Source organism: Homo sapiens, chromosome 6 (genome assembly GCF_000001405.40).
Source record: "Homo sapiens chromosome 6, GRCh38.p14 Primary Assembly".
NCBI classification, from domain to species: domain Eukaryota; kingdom Metazoa; phylum Chordata; class Mammalia; order Primates; family Hominidae; genus Homo; species Homo sapiens.
In genome coordinates, this window is record NC_000006.12 from 47,020,908 (window position 1) to 47,039,842 (window position 18,935).

The 18,935-nt window shown below is 41.0% G+C and overlaps 1 protein-coding gene across 3 annotated transcripts in view; it reads right to left on the bottom strand.

The window, feature by feature from the left end:
* ADGRF1 (adhesion G protein-coupled receptor F1) overlaps positions 1-18,935 on the bottom strand; it is a 44,625-nt gene that overhangs the window by 23,200 nt on the left and 2,490 nt on the right. For 2 of the 3 annotated variants that reach the window (NM_153840.4, NM_025048.4), the window contains exons 2-6: positions 8,086-8,197; positions 6,797-6,854; positions 4,947-5,096; positions 3,137-3,310; positions 1,051-1,151 (exon numbers count right to left, since the gene is read on the bottom strand). In NM_153840.4, the coding sequence (NP_722582.2) occupies positions 1,051-1,151; positions 3,137-3,310; positions 4,947-5,096; positions 6,797-6,854; positions 8,086-8,154 (552 nt within the window). In that variant the 5' untranslated portion in view covers positions 8,155-8,197. Of the gene's footprint in view, positions 1-1,050; positions 1,152-3,136; positions 3,311-4,946; positions 5,097-6,796; positions 6,855-8,085; positions 8,198-18,935 lie in introns of those variants that run through there. The other variant, XM_047418639.1, reaches the window with a different exon arrangement.

Sequence of the window (18,935 nt, forward strand, 5' to 3'; positions counted from 1 at the left end):
GAGACACAGTGGGAAGTAATTGCATGTCATACAAATACAGTTAAAATAACAGTTGTGAATGTATACATACACACACACATATCCATACATATACACGTATAAAATGTACCTTTGAGATTGCTAATAAATTGTGAATAACCAACTGCTTAGAATAGGAGATGAATTTGATGCCAGATCGTAGAATAAATTTACCCAAAATCCATTTTTTCCTTATGAAAAACAAGCCATTAATTTTTACAGGTACTTAGACCGAATCCATCTATTAAGTATTTGCTCGGGTCTTCAGTTAGAGCTACACCTGAGCCAGCATCCTAGGCAGAGGGACACTGATCTAGTTTTTATGTGACTTTATTATAAAGTTGAGAGTTTTGCTCAGTAACTCTCTTCAGCCTCTAACAACAGAGTTTTCTTTATAGAACAAATCCCAAATGCTGACAATTGAGCTTAGATCATGATTTTTTTTTGTTTTTTGATGTGGAGTCTCACTCTGTCACCCAGGCTGGAGTGCAGTGGCACAATCTCAGCTAACTACAAACTCCACCTCCCGGGTTCAAGCAATTCTCGTGCCTCATCACCTGAGTATCTGGGATTACAGGTGTATGTCACTATGCCCTGCTAATTTTTGTGTTTTTTAGTAGAGATTGGGTTTCACCATCCTGGCCAGGCTGGTCTCGAACTCCTGACCTCAAGTGATCTGCCTGCCTCAGCCTCCCAAAGTACTGGGATTACAGGCGTGAGCCACCATGCCCGGTCCATAAAAATTTTTTATAAAAAAATTAAAAGAGAAAATAATCAAGAAGCCTTAGTATATTGCTAAAATAAGTGAGCAAAACTGAACACAAGAGAAGTGCAAAGAAGTCAGCTGCTAAACTTTCCTAGAAAGAAGATACTCAGGGAATTTCAACTGTGGGCAGAGCAAATAACTGTTTTGTTATTTGCTCACTGAAAACGAATAATTAAGAATATGTATTAAATATACATGCTGAATTGAAAACATTTGAACTTGAGTGTAGCAAACGATTCCTTATATAATAAGTAGAAAGTGCTTACTTGAATTTCAATTCCATTTGCATATTTGGAGTATATAGCAGAAGATGAATTCAAAAGGTCATTTGTAAACCTTTCATTAATTTTGAAAGTGCCCCAAATCTCTGTAGGAAATAAAAATAAGTTTATAGACATAATAAATTTCTAACTTGATTTACTAGTAGCATACAATTATAGAAGTACAATTCAGAGTCATCTATTCAACAGTGATGTTTCAAATTTTTTTCATAAGAAATGTTCACCTAAAATAACACAGGATGCATACATAAAAGCAGAGTTTCTGACTGCAGATTTGGAGCAGTAATAGGGAAGTGCTGGTAATCAAGGCAACCTTAAAAGTAGGTAAATGCGTGGCCTCTCATGTGTCACTAAAGAAGGCATTCACTGAACTCTGAAATGTATCTTCATCTGGGCAATAAGCTTAAGCATTGTCCCTATTAAAAATTAAACGATGACCGTAACAGCAACACTACTTGCTAACTCCAACACATTCCTTACTTACCCATTGCCAGTACTTCTCTGCAATGGGACAATTCTCTGTGTGGACAAATTCTATTTATCCTTCATTCAGGACCTAGTCAAATATCATCTCTTCCACAAGGTCTTCTCTAATCCTCAGATGCAGAGTCTTTCTCTCCTCTAAATTCCTACAGTACTTTATCCCTATCTGCCTCCCATCCTCTTACATATTCCTAAACATTGATTTGTGTATGTCTCATCTATGCACATCTCCACGGTACTGTGGGAAGCTCCTCATAAGTGTCATCCCTGTCTGATCCAGTTTTGTATCTTTCAAAGATGGATTAGACATGGACCACCTTTTTCTTTCCTTTCTTTCTTTTCTTTTTTCTTTTTTTTTTTTTTTTTTTAGTCAGGGTCTCACTTTTGTCACCTAGGCTAGTGTGCAGTGGCACGATCTTGGCTCACTGCAGCCTCAGTCTTCTGGGTTCAAGCAATCCTCTTCCCTCAGCCCCCCAAGTAGCTGGTACTACAGGCACACACCACCACACCTGTAAATAGCTAATTTTTGTATTTTTTGTAGAGATGCATTTTTGCCATGTTGCCCAAGCTGGTCTCGAACTCCTCCTGAGCTCAAGCAATCAGCCCGCCTTAGGCTTCCAAATTGCTAGGATTACAAGTGTAAGCCACTGTGCCCATCTTTCAAAACATAGGCTTTCATCAACATTCATTGAAGAAATTACATTATTTTCTTTCTTGTATTACAGTCTGGCCTCTACAACTAGTCTCCTAATTCATAGACAGCAAGAGAAATTCTTCTGTGTGTCCTCCTAGAATTTGCCCCTGATCTGGGTGAAAAGATGGTGCTTAATAAGTAATGTGTTGCCATAACCTGAATTGCTGTAGTCCCAGGAAGGAGAGCCAGTATTCCCAATTAAGCTGGGCTATTTCAGGCTCACTCTTTGCTCAGTTCCACCAATATCTGGGGCTTCCAGTTAACTGGAGTAATCATTGCAGGAGCTTAGTAAAGTCCTTTATGTCCTGGAGTCCATGTCATTTGGCTCATCTCACCTTTCATTGAACATAAATCTAAGTTAACCATAGCTCCCTCAGCTTCCATTGGTTTCCTAAGCTAGACTTTTAGCTTTTGTTCTGTTTTAACAAGGCATTCAGTACACATATTTGTTGACAATTGAGAGATTTCTTTTAATGGAATCATTCACTATATATTCCTCCCTGCATTCATATCTCTAGACTCCCCTTTTCTTGAAATTGATGTTGGCAAAAGACGTGAAAAGAGAGTAGGAAGACAAATGTTGCTTACTCAAGCAGTTCCTCTTTTTGGAATTTTAGCAACTCTTCCTCAATCTCAATAAAATCATATGATTGCAGAGCTGAGCTGGATGGACCTAAAGGTTGAAGTGACCTTCACATGTCACCATGTGTTTCTGGATCTTCTGTACTATGAAAGTTCTCACTGGGTCCAGACAGGCCTAACATGATGTATCATCACTGTCCCTCAATCTCCCTGTAAACAAACATTGACTAGCTAGACAATGAGCAAGCGTCCCCTCTCTGTTGCATGTTGGGGTGGGAGAAGCCCCAGCCCAGAGCATTCTTAGTTGCTTACTTGTTCTCTCACAGAAATTGACACTCTGGCTGAGGTTGTTGAGATGACATTCACAGCTTGGGAGTGCTCCAGCCGTGTGAAGGTAGCAGTTCTGGGGATCAAGGCATGAGGGAGGAAACCAGGTGTAGCTGTCTTCACAGGTACACTGCAGGACTCCATTCAGGCTGTTGCAGTCTGCACAAGAAATAGAACTCAGTCTCATGGATTCTGGTTTATAAACTGACTACTGCTGAGCAGTGATTTTATTTTATATATGTTTATTTTTCAGATTAACTTCCTACATCTTCTATGAGTTTTGTTTTGTTTTGTTGCCTAGGCTAGAATACAGTGGCATGATCTCAGCTCACTGCAACCTCTGCCTCCTGGGTTCAGGTGAATCTTGTGCGTCAGCCACCTGAGTAGCTGGGATTACAGGCACGCACCATCACCCTGGCTAGTTTTTGTATTTTCAGTAGAGACAGTATTTTGCCATGTTGGCCAGGCTGGTCTTGAACTCCTGAGCTCAAGTGATCTGCCCGCCTTGGCCTCCCAAAGTGCTGGGATTACAGGCGTGAGCCACCGCGCCTGACCCTGAGTAGTGATTTGTGATCCTTAGCTCTCACATGGAATCTGGACCAAGGATTTGGTTGGTGCAAAAGTAATAGCAATTTTTGCCATTAAAAGTAAAATAATGGTTAATATTTCTCACCAAAAGCTAGAAGGATGAAACCAGGACAGCAATATAGTCAAGGTAAGAAAATGTCCAACTCAATAAATTCTGAGGTTGGTATCAGAAAGCTAACAAACATAAAGCTACAATGGCTGGGATTAGCATGCAAAAGAAGGATGTATACCCCATACATAGCCACTGCAATGGAAGAGAGAAGCAGAAGAGGACACTTGTAACAGGAGAGTTGTTTAAAGGATTCTAGAGCGTATTTGACCACCATCTCATTGGAGGCTCCTTTCTATCCACCTGCTACCACTCCCAAGTAGGCCTTATAAGCAAGATGACAAAGGCAGAGAAACATTTTTGGGGAAAGTCATGATGAAAAGTTTCTCTAGTAGCAATCCTATATGCCTGCCCCCTTCTATTACACCTGAAATTCCCACCGAAGTCGTCTTTTTTTTTCTTTCAGTAGATCAAGAACCAGGGCAAAGTCACCAGACACCTTTGTGAAAATACCCATGGTGTGCAGTGAATGGGTCTCAAGCTTTATTGCGACACAGAATCACCTGGAAGATCTCACCCTGGAGTTTCTGATCCTCTTAAGTCAAGACAAATGAAGAATTTGCATTTTTGCTAAGTTCCCTAATGCTGCTGCTGCTGGCCTGGGGACCATGCTTTAAGAATCACTGCTTTAGATCAATAATTTAACTTCTCTGAATCCCACCTTTGTGCTTATTAATGTTGTTTGCCAAATATTTCTTGCTGTCTTCCAGGTACACAGGATTGCATATCCTAGTCCCCTGAAGTTAAGTGGGGCCATGGAGCCAGTTCTAGCCAAAAAGTTGTTGGCAGAGTTACTGCGGTCACTTCTGAGTTAGAGAATTTAATTGCCCGTGGAAAACCCTCCAGTGTTTCATCTATTTTTTGCTCAGCATGGGTACATATGAGATAGGGTCTGATACATCACTGGGTACTGGTGGCAACAAATACAGCCCTCTGCCAATCTGCAATGGACATGTAGCATGAAGAAGATATAAAGCATTTATTCTTTTAAATCACAGAGATTGTAGGGATGATTGTTTCCACAGCATAACCCAACCTAGCCTGACTGATATACCCGCCTTCCCCATTTATACATCCAGTCACCGAGAGCCACCTTACCTGTGGTAGCCTTTGCTCTGATAATTCTAATTAGCCCATGTGACCATAATAATGGAGGCTTCAAGAGCTTCAGAAAATTTCTCAAATCTCTTTTCTCCTTGGAATCTCTATAGGTCACCTGAAGCAGCAGCTGATATTCTTCGACTGGGCCTAAAGAGAGAAAGAGAGTCAGAAACCTTTTTTTCTGTCCTTGGGGAAAATATTGCTGAGGAAGTGACTGAGAAACAATCATCAAATTTAGGTCAGGGACTCTACCATGCTGCTTGTTCCTGAGTTCCTCTCATCCAAACATGGACTAACAATGAACACTGAGGGTAAACACAAGCAAATGGTTCCCACACACGCCAAATATACGTCTGTCCTCTCACTTCTGCCAGGCCAGCTGCCCCAGTGCTGTCTGTCCCTCCCCAGAATCACTCTCCCAATGTTATACACTTCCTCAGGGCACACCCAGAGTCAAGCTTCAGGTGTCAAGACTGAAGGGGGAAGAGGTGAGGAAATCCAAGTCAACCTTCCCTCCCCCGCCCCCAGCTCTGATCTCCTTGAAGTATCTCCAGTATAAGACCCCTCAATCTCACACTTACAAAGAGCCCTTTCTTCTCCTGTGAAAATATTCCATTCGTTAGCTGCGTGTGGGTATTTATATGAAATCCAAAAGCAAAACAAACTAAATCTTCCCTTGAGGCTTGATGCACCCTCACCTCCAGCTCATCATTTCTGCACAGCACCTTTTCTTTCCCCACAGAGAAGCCATTAACTGATTTTGACAGGGAAAGGAGAGGAATCCTATGAGTCTTCTCCCATCCAAAATTCACTTAAGCCCATTCACATAAAACTTGACATGAAATTCCCAGGGGCTTCAAGGTCCCCCGAAGCTCACCTATGAAAGACCTGACATCTCACACCATTGCACCCCACTCCCATCTCTTAGTCTCCCCATCTCCTTACGGACTGGAGCCTCTTCCCCAGGCATTGGAAGTCCCCTCTGAGTGGTGGGACCTGAGACAAGACCCACTTCTCGTCCACGCAGGTGTGCAGTGGGGAACAGGGAAAAGGATGGCCCTGCTCACATCGTCAGGGGTTAATGGCACTGGTTCTGGAGCCAGATTGACTGGATTTGAATCCTGGTCCCTGCCCCTAGTTCTGTGCCTTAGTTTCACTATCTGTAAAATAAAGATGACCACTGTACCAGACTCAGAGGGTCAGTGTGAGGGTTTAATTCATCTAATGCACTTCAAATAGTCCTGCCACATAGTAACATCCCAACAATAGTTGCTATATTTTTATTGTTATTTTTACTGTCAGGGAAATTGTATTCATGTCATTCCAAGTTGAAATTTTGATTTCATTTTCCCAAAGAAGTATAGCCTTGCACAGTGATAGGTGCTATGGTACTATTAGCACATTGCTGTATGGCAGATTTATTGCATGGTATAAAAGCTATTGTAGACTGACCCGGGAACCTAACAACCACATGTGCATCACTGTTTCTGTGAGGAAATGTGTTCAGCACTAGAAACATCAGAACCACAAACTAAATTTCAGAACACAACTCATTTCTGGACTGGGGCTATGGCCATTAATTACATTGTTAGAATCAAGGCACAGAAGAAAAGGGCGTGTGTGAACAGCTACTTGCCAGGTCTGATGTAAGACACTGTGCTCTCATGATATTATTTAATCTTCACAAACGTCTTGCTCATAGGAATTACTGTCATTCTCCTTGTACATATTTGGATGTTTAATAATGTGCCTAGGATCATACAACCAGTCAGGGGCACCGCTGGGATTAGAAACCTGGTCCCTTGACACCAAAATCCACTGCACCATGCTGTCTAACAGAGCCTCACCTAGATGTTTTTTCTTATTCACAATGAGTTCTTTTTTTGTTTTGATGCCATCATTTTTCTGTTAAAAAGAAAAAAAATAGTTACGGTGAGACTTTGAAGAGTTGTGCTTCATAAGGCCTTGCTGAGTTTCCCAGATGAATTAAAATCATGAATCTAAAATCCAAGCCAGGGATGGTGGAGAGGCGGCCAGGGAAGGCCTCACTGGAGCAACTTTTAAGCAAACACCTGAAGAGTAAGAATATGCCTGGCAGGTAAAGGCAGAATGAGGACACCAGAGCCGCTGAGAGAGGAGAGTGAGAGGAGAGGCACAGGAGGTGGGGTCAGAGGGTCTCTGGGGAGGCAGGTTGTGCAGACCTTTATAGGCCATGGAAAGGGTTTTACCTTTTCCTTGAGCGAGATGAGAAACTGCTGGGTAGCTTTGAACAGGGGAAAAACATGCTGTAACTTACTTTGTAGCAGGCTCAATCCTGAAGCCCCATTGAGAACAGAGAAGCACAGAAGCAATGCGTGCATTTCTGGGGTTGTTGAAATCATGCAGGCAAGAGACAATGAAGGTGTGGATCAAGGTAGCAGCCACGGAAGTAGTGAGAAATTTTTGAATTCTGGATATATTTTAAAGGTAAAGCTTTAAAAGTAATGCCAGTGGTTTAGATATGGAATGTGAGAAGAGTCAAGCATGATTCTTAAGGTTTTTTTGCCTAAGTAGCTGGAAAGATAGTGATACCACTTGCTGAGATAGGCAAGAAGGATTGGGTTCGATTTTGAACAAATGAAGTTCCGAGGTCCGCTGGATTCCCAGCTGGAAATAACACGTAGGTAATGGATATGTGAGTGTGGACAGGGGAGAGGTCTGAGATGGAGCTATACAGCTGGGAGTCATCAGCATGTAGAGAATATTAAAACCATGATCCTAGATGAAAGCATCACTCAAGCGAGTGTAGACAGGAAAGACAGTGTCTAAGGATTGCTAATGTCCATCCATGTGATTTTTCTGCATCCGAGAAGCCATAGTACAGCATGTGTTGAACTGGAAAAGATCTCTAAGATAGTTTAATCAAAGATCCTCCTTTTGCAGTTTGATCATCTAAGCTCCGAAGAGATGAAATGACTTACTTATCCAAGGCCACACAGTGAATGTTGGTAATGTTGAAACGAGAACTCAGGACTTCTGATCTCAAGTACATTAAATTATGCAGTTGCAGTCCCCTAGAGAGTGAGGGGTTCTAAAAGTGCCGGAACGAGAGAGGAGAGTTAGTTGAGAAGAGATATGAGACATAGCACCAACTCACCCCCAGGAAGCCACCGTGGCCGTCAGTGAAGGTGAAGAAAGAAATGAGCCACAGCACTCCAACTTTCATTTTCCCTGGACTGAACAGCAGCAGTCGGGTGCATAGTCTGTGACTAAACAAGCAGGGTACCAGGTAAGGTAGAGGCACAAAAACAAGAAATTCAAGCCAAAATGTAAAAATGCACAAAGTGGTAAGGCCTCACTGAGCTGATCCGAACCCCTGGGTGTTTATGTTTCCACTCCACGGAACCTGTGACATCATGACTTCTGCTCCCATTGCAGATGTAGTAAATTTCCATCATTACAAACTTACTAGAAAACTGCTCTAGAGCTCTCTTCCAAGTGATGGTATCTGACTAAACACAGGTTTTTTTTTTTTAATCGTGACTTGCTTAACATTGCAATTAGGTGCATTTAACATCAGTCTTTTATATTTCACTGAGGTTTCCTTTTCATTTCAGGAAAGAAAAACATTAAAATAACCAAAGACTCTGTAAACCATTAATACCAGGATATAATTTGAGTGTTTAAGCATATAAATAATAATGAATCAATCCAGAAAATTTCCTTTTTCATAGTAGATATAATTAGCAAAAAGATGTCCTCGAGTTTATGGTTATCTCAAATAATTTAGATAAAACTCAGTACATAGACCTGGTCACAAGATTAATCACTTATACCCAGGTTATTTTGCATCAAAAAAATCACAAAATGTTAGAATTGTTCTGTCTAATACAGTAGCCATTAGCCATGTGTGGCTATCTAAATTTCAATTACAGTTAAAATTAAATTAAATTTAAAATTCAGTTGCTCAGTCACATTGACCACATTTCCAGTGCTCAGGGGCCACATGTGGCCAGGGGCTACCATATTGGGTAGCTCAACACAGAACGGTTACATCATTGCTAAGTTTTACTCCACAGCATTGATAGAACTTAAAGGAATACCTTCTTCTGGCCTCTCAATGTTTCTTTTACATCTCACAGGAGAAGATGAGAAAGTTTGATTCCCAAACTCAAGAGTCCTCCAGTGGAATAAGTGTCCTTGCTTAGCAGTCCAGAGTACACAGAGTAGGGCTCTCCATCCAGCCCTTACCTTGCTTCCTGGGTGTGCTTAAACTTCATACAAACCCTGCTATTTCTCCAGTGCCACCCCACACTGCCCTCTAATCTAAAAAGCCGAGAAAAGGCATTAGAGACAGGGAAGAACTACCATAGAGGTGGCCTATGTCTCAGCAGAGACCTTTTCTAGGGCTTTCTAGGGGAGCATGAAAAATAGGCAACGTGACATGTACAGCTTTTGAATTTACCTTTTCCTTTCGGATGAATGGTCCTCTTATGCCCCACCTTCCTGTTTGCCAAAGACTCCTTGAAAATCTATTGCTTTAAAATTCTTTGGCAGCAGCCTGGGCTCTAGATTATTCTTCAGGGTCTTGTTTCCCCACAGCTTATCTGCTGTGAGTTCTATTCCTTCCCGCCTGCGCTTTCTGCTTTCTAAAAGTGATGAATATTTTTCTCTCGAGCAGTGTTTTACAAACTTTCTTGACAGGATCCCATAGAAAGAAAGATATGTGATAACATGAATATGTGTGTGTGTGTGTGTGTGTGTGTGTGTGTGTGTGTGTGTGTACCTTGGATATTTTCTACTTGTTTTTATTTCATTTTATTAGTAAATTGCTATATTCTACTAAACTGATTTTGCAATACCCTCATGAAGCACAGTCACATTGCAGAGTGGGGGTTGTGCCCCTTCCAGCCCCTTTTCCACTTTTTCTTCACTCTTTTTTTTTGAGATGGAGTTTCTCTCTGTTGCCCAGGCTGGAGTGCAGTGGCATGATCTCGGCTCACTGCAACCTTCACCTTCCGGGTTCAAGCGATTCTCCTGCCTCAGCCTCATGAGTAGCTGGCATTACAGGCGTGCATCACAACGCCTGGCTAATTTTTGTATTTTTAGTCGAGATGGGATGTCACCATGTTGGTCAGGCTGGTCTCAAACTCCAGACCTCAAGTGATCCGCCTGCTTCGGACTCCCAAAATACTGGGATTACAGGCATAAGCCACCATGCCCGGCCACTTTTTCTTCACCTCTAGGGAAGGATTTTTTAATTTGAATTCCCAGGAACTATTTAGACCACAGTTTATAGTGCTGGAGCTTTCAAATGGGATAACAGTTTTGGTGCCTGCAGAGTGATCCGTTCTGCCTCTTTGTGCCAGTCTGTTTCCAAATGGGAGACCTGGCCTGCATACTGCTCTCTGCTCACTCTGTGTCTCTCTCTCTCTTCTCTCTCTCTCTCTCTCTCTCTGTCTGACTCTCTCTGTCTCTCTGTCTCTCTCTCTCTCTTCTCTCTCTCTCTCTCTCTGTCTCTCTCTCTCTCTCTCTCTCTCTCTCTCTCTCTCCTTGAAAAATCTTCCTCATACATGTACTCCAGGCCTGAGGCTGTAAAGGCAGCTTGAGAAAGCCTGAGGACAGCTCTGGGCATTGTGGGAAAGCCTTCTCTCATAGACTCCACCTCTTTATTCCCTCTTCTCCCACCCTAGAGATATATTCTGGCATCCTTGGACTTGCTACAGATGGTAAACTGTAACTTAGCATCAGAATTTCAGACAAGTGAGGAAGGGAGGGAAGAGAAGGAAAGGAGAAAACATTTAGGAGCTCATTAGAAAATGTGGGTGTCCCCGTCTCACCCTAAACCTACTAAATCTTGGACAGGTCAGGCCCAGCTATGTATATTATAATTATAATTATTATTATCGAGACATGTTCTTGCTCTGTCACCCAGGCTGGAGGTGCAGTGGTGTAGTCATGGCTCACTGCAGCCTTGACCTCCTGGTTACAAGTGATCCTCCCACCTCAGCCTGCCGAGTAGCTGAGACTACAGGCTAATTCTTTTAATTTTTTTTGTAGAGACAAGGTTTCACTATATTGTCCAAGCTGGTCTTAAACTCCTGGGCTTAAGCAATTCTCCCACCTCAGCTTCCAAAGTGGGACTACAGGCATCAGCCACCATGCCAGGGCAGCCCATGTGTATTATTAAAGCTACACAAGCAATGCTCACATCCAGGCAGGTTTGAGAGCTGTTATTCTAGACTGTTTTAAGTATAGGAAAAACGATTTCTCCAGGGGAAAGCGGCTGAGGGAGAGGTTGTGGCACCTGTGGCCTCCACTCCGCCCCCTCCTCCTTAAAAAAATAAAAATAAAATAAAAAAATAAAGATTTCTCCACCTAGCCTGGTCGTGTGATAGGAGTTCTACTCTGGGATTTGAAACCAAAGCTCAAGCGAATCAAACTTTTTTTCTTTGCTTCCTTGGTGCATATAGCTCCCTCTGGGATACCGTTGGAAGATTTAGGAAGTAAAAATACAAGGTACCCTCAAAATTTTGAATTTCAAATAAACAATATTTTTTTAGTTAAGTATGCCTTGTGCAATATTTGCAACATTATTTGTTGTCTAAAATTATTTGTGTCTTATCTGAAATTCAAATTTAACTGGACATCCTATATTTGACAACTAGTCAAAGGTGGGAAAAAATGAAATCTCAAGGCACATGGTCAAAATGGGCTCTGTAGCTGTACTAGCCAGGGTCCTGTTCCCAGCTTTGACATTTATCAACTGGATGCCCTTTGGAATTGTCTCAGATTTTCTATACTTTGGTTTAGTCATCAAGAATACAAGGAAAATAGTATTTAATTCACAGGTTCTTAGGAGAATTGAATGAGTACTTTGCAAGTAAGGTACCCAGAGTGGTGCCTAGTATTTCAACCTTACCATCAGTTTTTATAGTTACTTGCTGGATTGTGTCAGAATTTGACTTCTCTGAGTGCACTTGGGTTAACTGATGGCCATCACTCTGGAAATGGAGGGATCCCAGCTTTGAAGCAATAAAGTACATTTTTACAGTAATTGAATTATCTGACTCAAAGGAAGGTCCACAGCAGCAAGGATGTCAGGGATTGCTTTGCGTGTGTGCAGGGTCATCATAAATCCCTCTGAACTTCGCCTTTAGTAAACATAAACCCCATGGTATTTTCATCGCTTCCCTTCCAAGCCGGAATGGTCCTGATTATTTAGAAATTCTCAGAATCCTTGTGTCCTTGCCACAGATGAGGAGCTGTTGTTGTCATTAGAGCATGACATGTTTCCATCACACCTTGTGCTGTGGCTGCTGGGGCCAGTGATGCCTGAGCTGCAGCTGTGTGGGCACCAGCTTCCGTGGGAAGGCTTGGCCATGGTGGGACGCCCCCTCCGCACTTCCTTGAATTCATTCAGTGAATTCATTCCCTGTCCTTCAGTTTACAGGGAACAATCATTAGAACGTGCTATTATGCCTCTGGAGAGGGCTGGCTGTTGTCTCCCTATTCTTTCAGTTATATACTTACGGACTCCAAATATCATTTATTTATGCCAACAGCTGTCTCCTTATCAACAGCAGGCTTAGTTGAAACTGCTCACACCTATACTTTCCAGCATTCTTGGCAACAATCTAATCTTAGGCACAGTTGAACTCTGCGCTGTTTCTCTGGCATCAATATTTATGGGATTATGTTTCTTTCTCTATAAACAGAATTCCCAGTAGAGCTGTCTCTTTCCTGTCCGTCTTGGCCTCACATGCGCCCATGCGCACACACACATTGATGAAAAGAGCAGGTCTCCACATAGGATCTAAAAGAAATCATGACTCAAAAAGAATTAGGCAGGTGACCTGTAAAACCTTGGTTTTGCTTTATCTCTCATTTTATCAGTTTTTGATAACATTTTCATTGGCATCTATCTTTTCTAGGAAGTGTTGGGCCACTTGCCTTTGAGAAAAGCTCCTGTGTGTTTCTGTAACTGAACAGAGACAGAGGAGAAGACAGCTGAGAAAATAGGTGGGAGGACAGAAAAGATAGCCACTTCCATCTTTGGAAAAATGGTTGGAGGTTTGGTAAGTTATATGAGCGAGACAAACTTCCTCTGGAAGGACAGTAATTTAAAGTCATTTAAAATCTCAGGGAAGGTCTATATATATGTGTGCACAGTAAAATTGTAAACACGTTTTATATTTTCACATGTTTTAGCACATTCATGTTTATAAACACAGCAGGAAGAGGTCTGGATGAATTACACTGTAACCTCATGTTTGTACCTCTTCCGTGAGGATTTGTGAAAGTTAAAACTCTGTGGGCTCGGTTTCCTCCTTTATACAGTAAGAGGAAAAATAAAGTGAGCTCAGATCTATTCACATTCAGGTTTCATTATTACATGCCCATTCCCCACATTCTATTTGTAGATTACTTATTTAATTGTTCTTTTATCAATGTCTGGCAGTCACCAAACCTAAGCCTGGAAAGATTACCGATTTCTACTCATCTTTATTCTTGTTTTCTCCTCAAACTGGTTATTAAATTCTTTAACATCTTTTGAGATGAGCTAAGAACCTACTAAGAATTTAATTATTGGGTTCAGAACAGAGGTATAATTTTTAAGAATTCTGGACTTGTAAGTCTGGAAGCAACAAAAAGAATTACTTGGCTCAGTCACTCCTCCCCCAGGACACTTCACCAATCTGTGCTAAACTTGCATTTGTTCAACTACCGTATACTGACAGCCTCCAATTTCCCAGGCATTGTGCCATGCACTGGCTGTTAACAATATGCTCATGCAGGATTATCACACATAGTAGCTCCACACCTCAAGAGAAACTCCAAAAGCCACAATCCAGACCCACTTTTGGGAACTTCTGGTTACCGAGAATCTCTGTTCCAGGATCCCTATTTTAACTCTCCTATGTTTCATTGACTGGTTGTGCCTTCAGAGTCCAGTTTGTGACCCTACCTCCAAATCTGATCCTTTTCCATCCCAGAATTGAGATATGTGCTTATAAGTTTGTGTTTCCTTTGCCACTCATTAGAACTTCATTCAGCTCAAGAGTATTTCTCCTGCTGCTGGTGCCTTCAGCCTAGCACAGCTGTCTGCTCCTTCCTAACGAGGATTCTGTTTTTCTATTTAGTCTGCGCTTTGCATCTGAGAAGAGCTTCACTCAGGATGATTTGTTGTTTTTAGCTCATTGCTCAGTATGCCTTCTGGCATTCTAGTAGGATTCATTTCCCACAGAAGACCAGTCCAGCTCGTTTCCACTGTAAAAGGCTTAGCTGCAAGCCTCATGGGTTGGCTCTATTCCAAACCCTTGTAACTGAAGACCCAGCCGCTTGTGGTTCGGTATAGCAGGAGTGACCATGAAGCCCTTAAAAGATGATTAATGGCATTCCGCAAAAGATGCCAAGCTCTTTCTTCTAGCCAAGATTTCAGCTTAGTAACAGGACCCAGTCTTCCTGTAATTCCTAGGTAGGGCTTATTTCTCATCTCCTCTACTTGACTTCATTTAAAGTAGGTAAAGTCCAGATAATTTGAGCTTCTTGAATTGTTTGCTTTTAAAAATAAAAAAGTACCTGAACAGAACTCCAGAGAGGTGATAGCTACCTAATTAAAAGAAATAAAATAATTCCTTCTAATTTACAAAGTGTTTTTAATAAGTTTTGATTTGATTATTTTGGCAATTGTGTAAGTTAAGTGGAATTTATTTTCATTTCACAATTGCAGAAAATGAAAAGGTAACATTTAAATTCTAAATACAACGAATTTTTTAACTATTTCCCTAAATTTCTCAGCCCAAAGAATCAAGTATTTCCCTTAGATCATGAGCCGGTTAGTTTTTGTTGCTTGGGGCATGATTTTAATAAAATCATGATTGTTAATTTGATCTCCACCTGAGTTCCTTACAAACAATTCTTTTCTCAGAAAAAGGAAGAACGTACATTTCAAACCTATCTTCCTGTTCCTGCATTAATTTGCATGTTCTCACTTACAGTGGCAGCTAAGCACTGGGTACACATGAACGTAAAGATGGAAACAATCAACACTGGGGACTCCTAGAGCAGAGAGAGAGGGAGAGGGGGAGAGGGCTGAAGCGCTACCTATTGGGCTGGGCGCGATGGCTCAAGCCTGTAATCCCAGCAATTTGGGAAGCGGAGGCTGGTGCATTGCTTGAGCTCAGGAGTTCGAGACCAGCCTGGGCAACATGGTGAAACCCCATCTCTACTAAAAATACAAAAATTAGCTGGGCATGGTGGTACGCACCTGTGGTCCCAGCTACTTGGGAGCTGAGGTGGGAAAGTCACCTGAGCCCTGGAGGCGGAGGTTGCAGTGAGCCAAGATCGCGCCACTGCACTCCAGCCTGGGAGAGAGAGGGAGACCCTGTCTCAAAAACAGAACAAAACAAAACAAAACAAACAAACAAAAAACAGCTACTTATTGGGTACTATGCTCACTCACTACCTGGTGACGGGATCATTTGTACCCCAAACCTCAACATTACACAATATACCCATATAACAAAACTGCACACGTACCCCCTGATGCTAAAATAAAAGTTGAAATTACACAAGAAAAAACAAGCTATCTTCCTGACAAATATGATTGTCCTCAGTGTCGAAGGAGAGTCAGGAGTCCAAGGATGGAAACACAAATGATCAGGCCTGCTGGAAAACCCCTGCAGAACAGGCTCTGTGGGACCTTTATACATAAATGGTCAGATTAAAGATGTCACAAACTCTTCTTGGGTGATCTGTTTTAAATAGGAGTAAAACATACTTCTCCGACTTCTCATTCAATGGTTACACTGATAAATCTTCATTGTTTCAAACCTACCAAAACCCACTAATTCTTTATGTTTCCCTTTACATATGAATAGTATTTTCATTATAATTTTCTTAAAAAGTAAAAATAAGTTTTAAAATCATATTCCCCAGATGATTCTTCTAGAAATAGAACTAGTTGACTGGCATTCCACCTATCCTGAAAATATCACATCAGTTCATCCTCAGAAACCATCAAGATTCTACACCATACAGAATGAAAAGCAAACTCAAGATCATAGCAGTTTTGAACTCCCACAATTTGTGCTCAAACTTCCCTTCTATTAAGCTTCCTTTCACGCATCTGAATTCCAGGCAAACCAGGATTTAACTTTTAACTTTTCTAAGTTAAAAGGAAAGTGCTGCTTCAAAAGGTTTATATATGTTGAGTTTTTCTAGACATGGCCAAATTGACCTCCTAACCTGTACCCATTTATACTCACTGGTAAGGTGCAGAAATGCCTGTTTCATCACTCTATCCACAGTATCTTTTTAATGTTCCCAAATGGATAGGCAAAATTTTTGCCTTATTGTTTTAATTTTCCTGTGTTTGACTATCAGTAAGTTTAAGCATTTTTTCAGGGGTTTACTGACCATTTGTATTTTTTTCCAGCTTGACTATTTAAGTCATTTTCCTAAATTTTTTGATTAGAATGTTCATCTTTTTCTTAAAAATTGTGTTTTAGGAACTCTTTTGTCTTTGTCGCTCCTGTTATAGGTATTTGCTCATGATTTGTAGTTCATCTTTAAAACTTTTGCCTTATTTTCTTCTGCACAAAAGTTTAAAATGTTCATGAAATCACACCTGTTAATCTTTTCCATTATGGATTTTACTTATTCATTTTTACTTTTGGTTGTATTTAGAGACAGGGTCTCATTCTGTTGCCCAGGCTGGGGTGCCGTGCCATGATCATAGCTCACTGTAGCCCCATCCTGGGCTCAAATGATCCTCTCGTCTCAGCCTCCTGGGTGGCTGGGACTATAGGCACACACCACCACACCCAGCTAATTATTTTTTAATTTATTTTTTTGCAGAGACATGGTCTTGACATATTGTTCACACTGGCCTTGAACTCCTGGGCTCAAGTGATCCTTCTTCCTTAGCCTCTCAAAGTGCTGAGATTTCAGGTATGAGCCACGACACTCAGCCCCATTATGGATTTTAAACTTAGGGTTGTGTGAAGAATGTGTGGTTTTGTTTGTTTGTTTGTGTTTTGAGACGGAGTCACGCCCTGTCACCCAGGCTGGAGTGCAGTGGTGCAATCTCTGCTTACTGCACCCTCTTCCTCCTGGGTTCAAGTGATTCTCCTGCCTCAGCCTCCCGAGTACCTGGGACTACAGGTGCACGCCACCATGCCCGGCTGATTTTTGTATTTTTAGTAGAGATGTGGTTTCACCATGTTGGCCAGGTTGGTCTCGAACTCCTGACCTCAGGTGATTCACCCGCCTCAGCCTCCAGAAGTGCTGGGATTACAGGCGTGAGGCACCGTGTCCGGCCGAAGAATGTGTTTTCTATAAAAAGATTGGAAAACATTCTTCTACATTTTAGTCTAACAGTTAGTTCTTAAAATTATTTTTAGTACACTTAATTCTTCAATCTTTCTTAAGTTAATTTAGGTTTTGGGACGAAATAAGTAAATATTCAATCCTGCTGGAATTTATTTAGGTTTTCAGATTTCCTTTCATTTCCTCCAAGTGAATAGCCAAGTTTGCCAACTATTTTTCCCAATGAAACAGTTTTTTATCCAGACCACCTTGATAATTCTTTATCAATTCTATTTATTTTAAATTTTATTTTTAATTGACAAATAATAATTGTACACATTTATAGAGTACCTAGTGATGTTTTGATATATGTGATATACAGTGATCAGATCAGGGTAATTAGCATATCCATCATCTCAAACGTTTATCATTTCTTTGTGTTGGGAACATTGAATACTCTCCTTCTAGCTATTTGAAACTATATATTATTGTTAAGTATAATCATTCTACAGTGGTATAGAACACTAGAATTTATTCCCCCTGTCTAGCTGTAAGCTTGTTTAATGAGGCCCTTTTCCTATAAAATTCTGACCTAAATATATTTTTAAAATTCTACTGCTATCTACATCTTTTACCAATTACTTGCTTAATTGATACCTTGTTCAACAACGTAAAAGACTATGATATGCCTAAGAAATATATCATTAAGTGTCTTATCAGAAATAATTAGCTTGATTATCTAAGAGACGAAGCATAGGAAAGTCTCCAAGTAGAGTCGGGCTGCATGCAGTACAAACACAAGTGTAAAAGGTGTTCATGGAAAATATAATCTGCTTAACACAAATTCTCTTTACCCAAAACTTTGCAGGTGTGAATCTGTTGTACTATGACAGGCTGTCCCAACTTCACAAATGTATAATAAATATCTGCTTATCCCAAAACAATAAAGAAACTCTTATCAGGTTTTAAAGTTTTGTCTTCCAAGAAAGAAGAAAAGAATAAGAAAATTTTCTTAAGGACTTTAAAGTCTTTAGATTTGTGGACCTCTGGAGATTAAAAACTGACATTTGCACTAAAACCAAGAAGACACCATGAGGATCTGATAATGCTCATCAATAAAATGTAACTAGAGTTTGCAGTTTTAGGACTGCATACCTCATTGCTGCTCATCTCTGCATTTTCTTTATTCAACTGACTACACATAGGAAATTTATTTTAACTCTATGAAATGCTAGGGCATATTCCACTTCTATTATTAATTCCTATGAATTTTCATTCTCAACATGCCAGGTCCCAGTTTCCATCAGCCACTGACCAGGAGCCTCTATGAGATTATCTGTGGCTTACTGGGGAGGGGATGTGATAAGAAGGCTTCCCTTTCTTAGTGGTTTTGTGTACTATGGGTTGAGTTTATCAAGGCTTGAACCCAGCTGTGAATGGAAGAGTGTATGTTTCAGACCACGATGCTATAGACCTTTTGTACTATCCCTCCAAGATCCTAAATTGTTTTCACATCTATTAAAACCATGTATCTCTGGGCATGGTGGCTCACGCCTGTAATCCCAGCACTTTGGGAGACCAAGGCCGGTGGATTACTTGAGGTCAGGAGTTTGAGAAGAGCCCAGCCAATATAGTGAAACTCTGTCTCTACTAAAAATACAAAAATTAGCCAGGCGTAGTGGCAGATGCCTGTAA